The sequence below is a fragment of the Homo sapiens genome, chromosome 1 (assembly GCF_000001405.40).
Source record: "Homo sapiens chromosome 1, GRCh38.p14 Primary Assembly".
NCBI classification, from domain to species: domain Eukaryota; kingdom Metazoa; phylum Chordata; class Mammalia; order Primates; family Hominidae; genus Homo; species Homo sapiens.
This window is the reverse complement of record NC_000001.11, coordinates 36260292-36275729: the sequence shown is the minus strand read 5'-3', so window position 1 is coordinate 36275729 and position 15438 is coordinate 36260292. Positions and strand designations below refer to the sequence as shown.

Genomic DNA, 15438 nt, shown 5'->3' with positions numbered 1-15438 from the left:
GTTTTGCATGTGGCTATCTAGATCTAGCACCATTTGTTGAAAAGACTATTCTTATCATGCTGTTGCACTCCAGCCTGGGCAATAAGAGTGAAACTCCATCTCAAAAGAAAAAAAAAAAAGAAGACTTTTTTTTTTTTTTTTTTGAGACAGAGTCTTGCTCTGTCACCCAGGCTGGAGTGCAGTGGTGCCATCTCAGCTCACTGCAAGCTCCGCCTCCTGGGTTCACACCATTCTCCTGCCTCAGCCTCCCAAGTAGCTGGGACTACAGGTGCCCACCACCACGCCTGGCTAGTTTTTTGTATTTTTAGTAGAGACAGGGTTTCGCCATGTTAGCCAGGATGGTCTCAATCTCCTGACCTCGTGATCCACCTGCCTCGGCCTCCCAAAGTGCTGGGATTACAGGCGTGAGCCACCACACCCAGACTTTTTTTTTTTTTTTTGAGACAGACTCTCGCTTTGTCGCCCAGGCTGGAGTGCAGTGGTGCGATCTTACCTTGCTGCAAGCTCCGCCTTGCAGATTCATGCCATTCTCCTGCCTCAGCCTCCCAAGTAGCTGGGACTACAGGTGCCTGCCACCATGCCCAGCTAATTTTGTGTGTGTGTGTGTGTGTGTATTTTTTAGTAGAGACGGGGTTTCACCGTGTTAGCCAGGATGGTCTTGATCTCCTGACCTCGTGATCCCCCTGCCCCAGCCTCCCAAAGTGCTGGGATTACAGGTGTGAGCCACCGCGCCCGGCCAAAAAAGACTATTCTTTCCCCACTGAATTGTCCTGGCACCCTTGTCAAAAATCAATTAATTGGCCGGGCACAGTGGCTCACGCCTGTAATCCCAGCACTTTGGGAGGCCAAGGCGGGTGGATCACTTGGTCAAGAAATTGAGATCAGCCTGGCCAACATGGTGAAACCCCGTCTCTACTAAAAATACAAAAATTAGCTGGGCGTGATGGCGCGTGCCTATAATCCCAGCTACTCAGGAGGCTGAAGTAGGAGAACCACTTGAACCCGGGAGGTAGAGGTTGCAGTGAGACAAGATCGCACCATTGCACTCCAGTCTGGGTGACAAGAGCAAAACTCCAACTCAAAAAAAAAAAAAAAAAAAAAAAAGCCCAATTAATCATAAATGTAAGGATTCATTTCCGGACTCTCAATTTTATTCTACTGACCTGTCTGTCTCTCCTTATGTCAACACCACAGTCTTAATTAGTGTAGCTATAGTACATTTTTAAATAAAAAAAAGTGAGTCCTCCAACTTTTCTCTTTTTCAAAATAGTTTTGGCTATTCTAGGTACATGTCCATATGAATTTTAGAATCAGCATGCCAATTTCTGCAAAAAGACCATCTGGGATTTTGACAGTGTGTGTGCTGAATCTGTAGATCAATTTGGAGAATACTGCCATCTTAACAATAGTAAGTCTTCCAAATCCATGAACATGAAATGTCTTTCCACAATGTTTCAGTTTTCTGAATATAAGTTTTACACTGGCCTTTGTTAAATTTATTCCTAAATATATTATTTTGTTGCTACTGCAAATGAAATTACTTACGATTGATTTTCACTTGTTAACAATTTCATTTTCTTATTGTTCATTGCTACTGTATAGAAATACAGCTCATTTTGTCTGTGTGTGTGTGTGTGTGTGTGTGTGTGTGTGACACACACACACACACAGTCTTTTTTTTTTTTTTGAGGTGGAGTCTTGCTCTGTTGCTCAGGATGGAGTGCAGTGGCGTGATCTTGGCTCACTGCAGCCTCCACCTCCTGGGTTCAAGCAATTCTCCTGCCTCAGCCTCCCCAGTAGCTGGGATAATAGGCATGTGCTACCACGCCCAGCTGATTTTTTTTTATTTTTAATAGAGATGGGGTTTCGCCATGTTGGCCAGGCTGGTCTCAAACTCCTGACCTCAAATGATCTGCCACCTCGGCCTCCCAAAGTGCTGGGATTACAAGTGTGAGCCACCATGCCTGGCCTCATTTTTGTATACTGATCTTGTACCTGCAACCTTGCTAAATTCATTTATTAGCTCTAATTGGTTTTTAGTAGAATCCTTAGGTTTTTCTATTTAAGATTACACCATCTGCAAAAAGAGATGATTTTACTTCTTCACCAATTTAGATGCCTCGTGTTTCATTTTCTTGCCTAACTGCTCTGGCTGGAACGTCTAGTACACAATGGTAAATAAAATGGTGAGAGTGGACAGCCTTGTCTTGGTCTTGTTCTTCATCTTAAGGAGAAAGCATTCAGTCTTGCACCTTTAAGTATGATGTTAGCTGTAAATTTTTCATAGATGCCCTTTATCATATTGAGGAAATTCCCTTCTACTTTGTTGACTATTTTTATAATGAGAAGGTGCTGGACTTCACTGAAATGTGTCTACTGAGATTTTCTTGTCTTAAAAGAATGGGAAAAGTTCCCGAGAACTGACTCCATGTGAGCCTGCGCTCCTTATCCCTCTAACCAGGCCTCAGGACGAAGTCTCTACTCTGCTGAGAAGACAGCATGCTTTTCCAGATTAGATAATGCTACATTCGATGACTGTTAGGTAACAAAAAAGAGTTAACTAAATAAGTTTAACAATTCAGGATACCAAACCCAGGAGGCTACAAAATGAACCAGAGACCACATCTGATTTGTTCTCCATTTCATCTTCAGTGCTTTGCGTTTAGCCACAGAGTGGACACTTTGTACTTGTTAAATGAATAAACACACTTTCACGCTTCCTCTTCAATCTCCATTCTCTTCACAAGAAGGAACAATAATTTTAAAAATCAGTTTATCAAATATTAACAATACAGTCAAGGAATAAAATTATGTATGTATCACAGTTCTGCTAACCTAGAAATTGAGATCATTCTCATCCCTTCTACACCTTATTCAAAGGCACATAAGACCAAACTGATCTCGTTAGGGAGACACACTTCATTTACTAGTGCCACGTTTGAACAAAACTTCACTGCCACCAACATCCAGTCAGGAGAGCCATGCTTTCAACAGTCACTAAAGGGAAGAAGTAGGAAATTCTTGGTGAACAAGCCATCAACTGATAGAGATAAGACAGACAAAAATACCAAGAAAGAAATACCACCACCCATAAAGCGTTTTAGACAAAGCAGTGGGGTGGGCCTGACTTGCGTTCTGAATGCCTCTGGACAGTTATGGGAGGAAAGCTGAGCTCAGGTGAAATATGAAACATGTTTACTATTTTACTCTTTTCTCTGGAGGTCATCATCTCCTGAGTAAAAGACACAGAAACAGAATAGAGGGCAGCTGTGATATCTCTAGAGTAACACTCTGCCAAGGCCTCATACTCCACCCCATCCCTGAATAAATCAAATCAGAGACCCCTTCATGACATGTACTCTGCTATTAAGTGGCTCTCAAGTTATTAAGTAAGGTAAATCAGTAAATACTAATTTCAATTCTAAGGTCTTCAATTTATAGAAAAGAATATCCAAATGTGCATTGGGTACTCTCCTAAAAAGTGGGGGTGATGTCCCTCTGGGGAGAATGGTCATTTAATTTAACTGTTTAAAACATTTAAAGATACAGGCTGGGCGTGGTGACTCAAACCTGTAATCCCAGCACTTTGGGAGGCTAAGGAAGGAGGCTTGCTTTTCAGTCCAGAAGTTCAAGGCCAGCCTGGACAACATGGCAAGACCCTGTCTCTACAAAAAAAATAAAAAATAAAAAAATTATCCAGGGCCAGGCACAGTGGCTCAGGCCTGTAACCCCAGCACTTTGGAAAGCCAAAGGGGGTGAATTACTTGAGGTCAGGAGTTCCAGACCAGCCTGGCCAACATGGGAAAACCCCATCTCTATTAAAAATACAAAAATTAGGCCGGGTGCGGTGGCTCACGCCTGTAATCCCAGCACTTTGGGAGGCCGAGGCGGGCTGATCACCTGAGGTTGGGAGTTCAAGACCAGCCTGACCAACATGGAGAAACCCCTTCTCTACTAAAAATACAAAAATTAGCCGGGTGTGGTGGTATGCGTCTGTGATCCCAACTACTAAGGAGGCTGAGGCAGGAGAATTGCTTGAACTCGGGAGGTGGAGGTTGTGGTGAGCGAAGACTGCACTGCACTCCAGCTTGTGCGACAGAAAGAGACTGCATCTCAAAAAAAAAAAAAAAAAAAAAAAGATAAGAAAAAGCCTGGGCACAGTGGCTCATGCCTGTAATCCCAGCACTTTGGGAAGCCAAGGTAGGCAGATCACGAGGTCAGGAGTTCGAGACTAGCCTGACCAACATGGTGAAACCCCGTCTCCACTAAAAATACAAGAATTAGCCAGGTGTGTTGGCATGCACCTGTAATCCCAGCTACTCAGGAAGCTGAGGCGGGAGAATCGCTTGAACCCGGGAGGCGGAGGTTGCAGTGAGCAGAGATCGCATCACTGCACTCCAGCCTGGGCAACAGAATGAGACTCCATCTTGGGGGAAAAAAAAATTTGCCTGTGTTATGAAAACAAAATTATCCTGGAACTTGGTACTGAAATTCTTAAAACTTTAAATACTGAATTCTGTGGAATTTGGTAGAACTTACTTTAAAAATATGAAATCTGTAGTTACAGACATACATATAAGACATATCTATATAAGGACATACAGCAAACTGTTATCAGTGATTATTTCTGCAGAGCAGAAAGAAGCTAACAGGAAGGGAACAGGAGAAGGAGGGATATGAGACGGGAAGAAAGGGCAGGAGCACTTGCTTCTTACTTTAATTTTTTTAGGCAGAGATTTCTCCCCCATTATTCTAAAAAAAAAGTTAACATTCCATGAGTTGTGTACATTATTTTATTTTTAATATGAAATCAAACATCTACCTGCTTTTTTCTGATATTAAAAAAACCTGGCTGGGCGCAGTGGCTCACACCTGTAATAATCTCAGCACTTTGGGAGTCCGAGGCAGGCGGATCACCTGAGGTCGGGAGTCGGAGACCGGCCTGACCAACGTGGAGAAACCTCATCTCTACTAAAAATACAAAATTCGCTAGGCGTGGTGGGGCATGCCTGTAATCCCAGCTACTCAGGAGGCTAAGGCAGGAGAATCACTTGAGCCCAGGAGGCAGAGGTTGCAGTGAGCCAAGATTGCGCCACTGCACTCCAGCCTGGGCAACAAGAGCGAAACTCCGTCTCAAAAAAAAAAAAAAAAACAAAAACCTAAACAAATAGAACTGTATTTTTAATTATTTAGAGTCCATGTCCATTTTGGAAATCTTCTCACAGTAAATCTACTTTGCCTTTTTATGACTTTAAAGAAGGTTTAAAAGGGCCTGTCTTATAGCTGCGAGAGCAGGCATGCGTGCGTGTGCGTGTGCCTGTGTGCGTGTGTGTGTGTGTCAGGGTCTCACTCTGTTGTTTCAGACTGGAGTGCAGTGGCTCGATTATAGCTCACTGCAGCCTCAACCTCCCTGGCTGGCTCAACCGATCCTCCCACCTCAGCCTCCTGAGTAGCTGGGACTACCGGCATGTGCCACTACAGCTGGCTAACTTTTCGTATTTTTTGTAGAGACAAGGTCTCGCCATGTTGCCCAAGCTGGTTTCAAACTCCTGGGTTCAAGGAGTCCTCCCTCCTCAGCCTTCCAAAGTGCTGGGATTACAGGCATGAGCCAATGTGCCCAGCCTGTTTATTTTATTATAGAAGTATTGATTCAAACATACACAAAAGTAGAAAGAACAGTATAGGGAACCCAAGTGTTTCCATCATCCAGCTTCAAACATTATCAATACTCTGCAGGCAGACTGTATTCTTGGTCAAAATCCGAACAAGTGTGGATAGATAAAGCCAGTTTCTGCAGCTCCTTTTGTGTATTTTCCTCCTTAAAAAAGACTTTATTTAAAAAAAGAGACATGCAGCTGTAAACAGTGGCTCACACCTGTAATCCCAGCACTTTGGGAGGTTGAGGGGTAGGACTGCTTGAGCCCAGGATGTCGAATCAGCCTGGGCAACATAGTGAGACCCTGTCTCTACAGAAGATTTAAAAAAAAAAAAATTAGCTGGGCATGATGGTGAGCTCCTGCAGTCCCAGCTACTTGGGAGGCTGAGGTAAGAGGATGGCTTGGGCCCAGGTCCAGGCTGCAGTGAGCAATGATTGCTCCACTGCACAACAGCCTGGGTTATGTGCTTTTCCACGTGTGTGCTCTGCAAATACATCTAAAAAGAGAATCAGTTACAGCAAATAACATTCTAACTCAAACTCAAACACATCTAAAGTAAACTCCAAAGTACAACCTTAAACTCTCCCCCAATTACAGGACATGAAGTAGTCCAAAATGTCATTCCCAGTGGAGGCTCTTCCATCAACTTGTTTTTAGACATGAGAATACTTCATAACCACTGAGAAAAGTATCACGAGAGGGGAGAAAATACATAGTAAGCTACTTTTTTTCATTAGCAACCCCAAAAGGCTGCAGCTTCTAACTCTATGGTGTCCGAAATCCACTGTAAAAAAAAGTGAGCTCGCTTCAACTGTTTGTTTGGCATCTGCAGAACCAGTGGAACCAGCCTGGCAAATTTCACCATCACCACCAACAAAAATCAGCAAAAACACTCCTGTGTGTTCAGAAATTGGAGGGTTAAGGGATGCCAGTAAAGTCCATGCCCTCAGGAAAAACAATACTTGGTCCTTAGCTCTTGTCAAGGTAACTGCCAAGACAAAATACCCAATTCTGTGTATTGTTTTCTCCAGATTAAAAAACTAACTCGGCTGGGCGCGGTGGCTCATACCTGTAATCCCAGCACTTTCAGAGGCCGAGGCAGGTGGATCACCTGAGGCCAGGAGTTTGAGGCCAGCCTGGCCAACATGGTGAAACCCCATCTCTACTAAAAATAGAAAAATTAGCTGGGCGTGGTGGCGGGCGCCTGTAGTCACAGCTACTCGGGAGGCTGAGGCAGGAGAATCGCTTGAACCTGGGAGGTGGAGCTTGCAGTGAGCTGAGAATGTGCCACTGCACTCCAGCCTGGGTGACAGATAGAGCGAGACTCCGTCTCAAAAAAAAAAAAAAAATTAACTCATATTGGACACATGGATTACTTTTCTAAGTAGTCATTAAGAAGTTTCTCTCCTGGGCACAGTGGTTTGTGTCTATGGTCCCTCGTACTATGGAAGCTGAGACAGGAGTATCGCTTGAGCCCAGAAGTTCAAGGCTGCAGGTGAGCTACCACTGTGTCGTTGCACTCCAGCCTGGAGGACACAGCAAGGTGGGTCTATCCTTAAAAACAAAACAGTTTCCCCCAAAATAACCTCTGAAGTACTTTAAAGTACAGCAATTAAGGAATGGCAAGCCTGGTGTAACACTGCCAATGTAACAAATACTGGACCGGCTCTTATCCATGGAGGTTCAATTCCAAGCCCTCCAAAATGTCCAAAATGTCAATCTCTGTTCTTCCTTTTCTAGTCTAGTATTTCTTTGGATGATAAAAAACACACTGAGTCATCTGATTCTCAGAAAATTCATACTAAACTGCACAGAAAAAAAAAAATGATGCTGACCTTTTTTCTGTCACCTTCAGTGCAAGAAAAAGGGTAATTCCTTTCTTTTTTTTTTTGAGACAGAGTCTCGCACTGTTGCCCAGGCTGGAGTACAGTGGCACATGATCTCGGCTCACTACAATCTTCACCTCTTGGGTTCAAGTGATTCTCCTGCCTCAGCCTCCCGAGTAGCTGGGATTACAGCTGCGTGCTACCACACCCAACTAATTCTTGTATTGTCAGTAGAGATGGGGTTTCACCATATTGGCCAGGCTGGTCTTGAACTCCTGGCCTCAAGTGATCCATCTGCCTCGGCCTCCCAAAGTACTAGGATTACAGGCGTGAGTCACCGTGCCCGGCCTAGGGTAATTCCTTTCTAAAAGTACTGCTATTCACTTTGGATGTTTTGGATTCCCAGTTGTAAAACAGACCTTTTCTAACAGAACTCAGTCTCCGAAAGCCCCCGGATGCCCCGTATTCTGTGAGTGGGTGCGGGGAATATGGGCTCCCGTCTATCCAGCAGGGAGCCCATCCTACCTCTTCTTGACTTACCTCCTTTCAAGCCCTAGTATCAGTTAACAAATAACAAAAGAATCTGCTCTGGCCTCCTGTTTGACTATTACTAATTGCTTTCTTCCCTCTTTCTTCTCCCCACAAAGTATCAATACCCCTGGAATTGGGTGGAACTGATCTCACTACACTAGTAGGTAAGAAGCTGAAAAACATAACCGCTGCCAAACAAGTGTTCAGGGTCCCTAAATGAGAGAAATTTACCAAAACTAAGGCTCCTACTGAATAAACCACAAACTCTTATTTGGTGCATGTGTTTTTACCTCTATTTTTTCATCAGTAAAATGATGATTCGGAACAGCTGTATTGCTGACAAAAAAACTTAAAAATTATACACGAATAGAGGGGAACATTCCTTTTTTACTACTTCAGCCATGTCCTAAAAAATGGAATTAGGTGGTAAAGAAACTTTGCTTTTAAAGGAGAATCACCCTCACCCACACATACACATACACTGTGACTCTGAAATTAATTGCAGAAGAAATTATTTAAGATTCTTATTATAGGCAGGGCGCGGTGGCTCACGCCTGTAATACCAGCACTTTGGGAGGCCGAGGCGGGTGGATCACCTGAGGTCAGGAGTTCAAGACCAGCCTGACCAATATGATGAAACCCCGTCTCTACTAAAAATACAAAAAAATTTAGCCGGGCGTGTTGGCATGCAAATGTAATCCCACCTACTCGGGAGGCTGAGACAGGAGAATTGCTTGAACCCAGGAGGCGGAGGCTGCAGTGAGCCAAGATCGTGCCACTGCACTCCAGCCTGGCCAACAAGAGTAAAACTCTATCTCAAAAATAAATAAATAAATAAATAAATAAATAAATAAATAAATAAATATTCGTATTATAATCTACTCCTTTTTTACAACAAGCCAATCTGCCTGAAAATAGGTATCAACTGTCCAGGGACTTGGCCACCTACCTTCTCTGACTGTACTTAAACTTATCACTTGCATCTGAGACAATGCAAATTCAGGTAGTACCAACCTCACTTGGAAATGAGAGGTTCCAGAGCAAGTTAGAGCTTGGCTACAGAATCCTACTGGGGTGAGGGACACTGTGCTGCTGGCTTCTTTCCATCAGAACCAGCAAGAGATCACATTTCCTTCCCCCTTTTCAGCGAGTGAATTAGTTTCTGCTCATATCATATGGCAAATTCCACTCCTTCCATCATTTACTTTTTAAAGGAACAGGACCACATTACTTCTCAGTAACTTAGAGAGGTGGAGAAAATTCAATGAGAAATGTATTTTCCATGGGTTCCAAAATACAGCAGGCAGAGGGGCACTGCTTATCTCAAGGATGATTTCCACACAGGAACTGGAATTTTTCTTGTTTGTTGTTGTTGTTGTTTGTCATTTTTGAGACAGAGTCTGGCTCTGTTGCCCAGGCTGGAGTGCAGTAGCTCAATCTTACTGCAGAGGTGACTGCAACCTCTGCATCTTGGGCTCAAGCAATCCTCCCACCTCAGCCTCCTGAGTAGCTGGGACTACAGGTACGCCACAATGCTTGGCTTTTTTTTTTTTTTCTTTTTTTGAGAATGAGTCTTACTCTGTACCAAGGCTAGAGTGCAGTGGTGCAATCTCAGCTCACTGCAACCTCCATCTCCCAGGTTCAAGCAATTCCCCTACCTCAGCCTCCCGAGTAGCTGGGATTACAGGTGCATGTCACCATGCCTGGCTAATCTTTGTATTTTCAATACAGACGGGGTCTCACCATGCTGGCCAAGCTGGTCTCAAACTCCTGACCTCAAATGATCCGCCCGCCTCAGCCTCCCAAAGTGTTGGGATTACAGGTGTGAGCCACCACATCTGGACCATTTCACAATTTTAAAAATAATTTTTAGGGGGTAGGGGGCAAAGGGATGGGGAGCATTAGATTAGGACAAACAGCTAATGCATGCGGGGCTTAAAACCTAGATGACGGGTTGATATGTACAGCAAACCACCATGGCACATGTATACCTATGTAACAAACCTGCACTTTCTGCACATGTATCCTAGAACTTAAAATTTAAAAAATAAATAATTTTTGCTTTCTCATTAAAGCAGATTTCACAATTGCTATACTTTACAGTTATTTGGTAAAATTGGAGTTTATGCTTCAAAAATATGGCCCAACAAGTACCAAGGGCATTCTTCTGCTCATCTTATCAAGATTTACTGAACACTTACTGTGCCATGCATGCCATGTGCACTAGATGCAGCAAAAAAAAAAAAAAAAAAAAAAGTTTCCTGTCTTGTACACCTAACTGTAAGTAGAAAATTATTTTTTAATCTTTTCAGGCTCATACTGTGACTTTGGAGGTTTTCGTTTGTATTGGTTAACAGTGTAAAAAGGCACCAGAGTAAAGTCAAAAAGATTACTAGTAAGACCTTTTCCAAGTTGCTTCTCTTTGAACTAAAGTTTTCTTATGTGCTCATAACAAGGATGATACTTTAGTTAATAATAAAGTTTCATACTGGTTCATTAATTGGGACAAATGTACCATACTAATGTAAGATGTTATTTACAGTGGAAACTGGGCATGGGGTACATAGGAACTGTTATGGGTCCAGTTGTGACCCATCTACCCATCCAAATCATATATGGGAAGTCCTAACCCCTAGTACCTCAGAATGTAACCTCATTTGAAGTTAAGGGTCTTTAGTGAGGTATACGATGCTTATAAAAAGGGGAAATTTGGAACCTGATATGCGGAGACACAGGGAAGCCAAGGAGAGGGGCCTGGAACAGATCCTTCTGTCATGGCTCTCTAGAAGAACCAATCCTGCCGACACCTTGATTTTGAATTTCTAGCCTCCAGAGCTGTGAGACAATAGAACTGCTGTTGTTGAAGCCTCCATTTGTGGTACTTTATTATAGCAGCCCTAGCAAATATAAACTCTGTATATCTTCACAATTTTCAATAAATCTTCAACTATTCTCAAATAGATATTAAAAAAAAAGATAAAGGTAATGTTACCAATATTTCACAGTTAAGACCAAAAGAGATAGATAACTAGCAAATCTGCGCATAATCTCAACACACAATAAGCAACTGAGACTAGAATCCACGTTCCATTCTGGGCTGTCCATATGTCCATAATACAGTGTTACTTCAAGAGGGGCACTAAGGTGGGTGTTAGGTGAGGAAATACACTAAAGCAAATTATCATTCTAAAATGCTCAGTCCTAAATGGACAAGTCACTTTGTAATACTGGGCCAGGTTCGGCAGTAAGTAGAGGCTTTGGTAGCAAAAACGAACTGGGTTCAATCTTGGCTCTGCCACCCATTCCTGGACAAAATACTTAACTCTCTCCATCTTCCAAATGTGACCTACACCTTACAGGACTGCCAGGAGAATTAAGGAAGCACATACACAGTGCCTGACACACAAGTGAGTAAACACCTTAAACTATGTTTAGCCACAGAACCAGAGTGGTTGGAGGGAGAGATTTAGGAACTTCCCTGGGAGTAAACAGATTTCATAACTGATTCTATTTTCTTGCTATTTATTAAAACCTGCCTACAAGAAGGAGAATGGCGTGAACCTGGGAGGCAGAGCTTGCAATGAGCTGAGACTGCGCCACTGCACTCCAGCCTGGGCGACAGAGCGAGACTCCGTCTCAAAAAAACAAACAAACAAAAACCAAATCTGCCTACAAGTAATAAGTGATCAGGTATCTTCCTACACAGCAATAAAGCATTTTATATCTTTCCTGGCTAAATTAGCATGTGTCACACTGAAGAGGTGTGCTAGAAGGAAAGGTCGTATTATCAAGAAAGACCTAAGTCAAAAGGTCACATTCACCTTTGGAAGACAAATCTCTTCGATGCTGGATGTTAGCAGGGAAAATCAACAGCAAGCTAAAAGTTCACTTAGAACTTTTTCATCAAAACATCCCCAGTGTAAGCAACTTGAGATACTCCTCTGAGAATTCAGTCAATGCGTGTCTATTAAGCTCAGGATCATCTATGCAATTAATCATTGGGGAAACAAAATGAATAGCACAGCTGGCGGCTTAAAAAAAATATTCAATTCACCCCAGAGGCTCCTCTCCTATGTCTCTCAGGGACAGTAACAGTAATTTTAGCCCCCATTTTAAATGAGTATGTTACCATTGGGGAATATTTTCTTCTCAATTCTTAAGAGAAATTCTCAGCTTTCCTAACTTAATAAAGACACTATAATCTATATTAACTAACGACCTGTGGTTTCCTTCCAGCTCTCATTATGATAAATCTTTTCTAAGCTAAATTAAGCAGCCAATCATGACACTTAACTATTTTTAAAAATGGAATTATTGTCCAGGTGCAGTAGCTCACCCCTGAAATCCTAGCACTTTGAGAGGCCAAGGCGGGTGGATCACTTGAGCCCAAGAGTTTGAGACCAGCCTGGGCAACATAGTAAGACCTCATCTCTACAAGAAATACAAAAATTAACTGGGCATGGTGGCTTGTGCCTATAGTCTCAGCTACTCAGGAGGCCGAAGCAGGAGGATCACCTGAGCCTGGGAGGTCAAGGTTGCAGTGAGCCGTGATCAAGCCACTGCACTCCAGCCTTGGCGACAGAGCCTCCAAAAAATAAATAAAATAGGCCGGGTGCAGTGGCTCACGCCTGTAATCCCAACACTTTGGGAGGCCAAGGTGGGCAGATCACGAGGTCAGGAGATAGAGACCATCCTGGCTAACACAGTGAAACCCCATCTCTACTGAAAATACAAAAAAAAAAAAAAAAAAAAAAAATTAGCCGGCCCTGGTGGCGGGCGCCTGTAGTCCCAGCTACTTGGCAGGCTGAGGCAGGAGAATGGCGTGACCCCGGGAGGTGGACTTGTAGTGAGCCGAGATCGCGCCACTGCACTCCAGCCTGGGAGACAGAGCAAGACTTCATCTCAAAAAAAATAATAATAATAAATAAATAAAATAAAATAAAATAAAATAGAAGCATTACTATTAAAGCCTTGGGCTAAACACTGATAAATACTGTAATCACCTACAGAACTTTAAAAAAATATCCATCCATCAAGATTCTAATTGAAGAAACTGAGAATGGGATTCAGAGCCAGTGGGCCATGGACATTCTTTGCAGATCACCCCCATACTGATATACAGACATCCACTGTTTACAAAGAGTTCTACATAAAGCCTGGATAGAACTACAGTAGGAGAAATAAGCTGTTTGACAGCTTTTACAGACAATGGTCTTTTTAAGATCAAATCATCTTCCCAAAGATGATCACATGGAGGTTTAGAGGAGGAAAAAAACGTGTGTGTTAGATTTATTTTGTTTTATATTACTATATCACTGTTTTGTATTATGTTTGGAATGTGGCAGGCCATCATTCATTAACTTAATCATACTAGTTTATCTGTTCCTTCAGAAGTATGAACTCTTAGAACTGTACCATCCAATACATATGTAGACTCAGCACGTGAAATGTGGCTGATCTGAACTGAGATGAGCTACAGGTATAAAATAAACATGGGATTTCTAAGGCTTGGTATAAACAGAAAGTAAAATATCTCACCATTCTTTATATCACTTATATGTTGAAATAAGAATGTACTGGATATATTGAATTATATAAAACATATCGTTCAAATTTATTTCATCTGTTTTTTTAAATGTGACTACTAAAATGTATTAAATGACATGTGGCTCACATTCTTCTTTTGAGCAGCACTGTCCTTGAGAACAACGATGATTATATCTTCAAATTGAGAACCCAATCTAGTACTGTCCAGTCACTTTTAGATTTGTCATTTATACTTGCCATTTCTAGTCTCTACCCACTAAGCCTTTCCTGTTGCAGTAACTCTCCACATGAGTTTGGGGGAGCAGCGGAGATGTCTTAAATACAAACACAACTCTACGTAAGAGACCAAAAATGATTTAAAGATCTACTACCATTTTGGATCATACTAATCATCTAAGTTTACAAAAGAAATCAAGGAGAACCCGACCGGTTGCTTCCACTTAAAATTATTTAAAATACTACTCGAAGCTATCTAGAGACACCAACTCCACCTCAGGTAGATCCACACACTCAACCAGAACTTAGTCCAGATACATGTGATCAGTGTAGTTCGTCTCTCTGGGATTTCCTTTTGGAATAGCATATGAACTGCTTACAGAAATGGCTCTAATTTTTTATTTTATTTTTACTTTTTTTGAGATGGAGTCTCGCTCTGTCGCCCAGCCTGGATTGCAATGGCGCGATCTCAGCTCACTGCAAGCTCCGCCTCCCGGGTTCACGCCATTCTCCTGCCTCAGTCTCCCGAGTAGCTGGGACTACAGGCGCCCACCACCGTGCCTGGCTAGTTTTTTTGTATTTTTAGTAGAGATGGGGTTTCACCGTGTTAGCCAGGATGGTCTCGATCTCCTGACCTCGTGATCTGCCCGCCTTGGCCTCCCAAAGTGCTGGGATTACAGGCGTGAGCCACCGCACCCGGCCTAATTTTTGTATTTTTAGTAGAGATGGGGTTTTACCATGTTGGCCAGCTGGTCTCGAACTCCTGGCCTCAAGTGATCTGCCCTCCTCGGCCTCCCAAAGTGCTTCGCTTACAGGTGTGAGCTACTGCGCTTAGCCCAAGATAAAATTTATAATATAGCCAAAATGCTTAAATGTATTGTGGAAGATTTACACTTATGGTTAGAGTTTAGGGAGAAATTACTGATAAAGACATAGAAACTAAGCAAAATAGACAAAAAGATTATTAAAAACAGAAAACAAATAGTTGTACAAAAAAGGAAAAGTAAACACAACATGTAAAATGACTGGGCTGTGAATAAGCGCTACGTAATCATAATAATGTTGTAAACCATGATACTGCCATGACTAAAATTATATTATAACCAGAGTGCCTTTTTTTTTTTTTTTTTTGAGACGTAGTCTTGCTCTGTAGCCCAGGCTAGAGTGCAGTGGTGCGATCTCAGCTCACTGCAAGCTCCGCCTCCTGGGTTCACACCATTCTCCTGCCTCAGCCTCCAGAGTAGCTGGGACTACAGGCGCCCACCACCACGCCCGGCTAATTTTTTGTATTTTTAGTAGAGATGGGGTTTCACCGTGTTAGCCAGGATGGTCTCGATCTCCTGACCTTGTGATCCGCCCGCCTCGGCCTCCCAAAGTGCTGAGATTACAGGCGTGAGCCAGGTGCCTGGCCCCAGAGTGACAATTAATGTTGGCATGTGAGGTGGTCAGGTAAGCCTACCAAAAACGACCACTATTTAAGGAGTGAAGTTAATAAATAATAACAAACACTGTAAAGCAAAAGAGGCTTATTATTTAGAGAGATATACCAAAAGGAACTGGAGAGTTGAAAATGACTGCTTCTAAGGGGCTGGGAAGGGGAGTGGGGAAGGACTGCTGTTTTTCATAAAGAGCCCTAGGGAGCTGATGGTCTGGTATGTCTA

General features: G+C 42.7%; 1 protein-coding gene across 19 annotated transcripts in view, besides 2 other annotated features; it reads right to left on the bottom strand.

The window, feature by feature from the left end:
* Positions 1-15438, bottom strand: part of THRAP3 (thyroid hormone receptor associated protein 3) — a 97721-nt gene that overhangs the window by 29628 nt on the left and 52655 nt on the right. The window lies entirely within an intron of this gene.
* Positions 6028-6322: an enhancer, noted in NCBI's record as "tiled region #2392; HepG2 Activating DNase matched - State 5:Enh". NCBI's record gives its function as "activates a minimal TATA promoter and a strong SV40 promoter by Sharpr-MPRA in HepG2 cells {active_cell/tissue: HepG2}" and the evidence as "EXISTENCE:reporter gene assay evidence [ECO:0000049][PMID:27701403]".
* Positions 14875-15031: a silencer, noted in NCBI's record as "fragment chr1:36726300-36726456 (GRCh37/hg19 assembly coordinates)". NCBI's record gives its function as "represses an EF-1alpha promoter that drives an FKBP-Casp9 reporter gene in an ReSE screen in K562 erythroleukemia cells {active_cell/tissue: K562}" and the evidence as "EXISTENCE:reporter gene assay evidence [ECO:0000049][PMID:32094911]".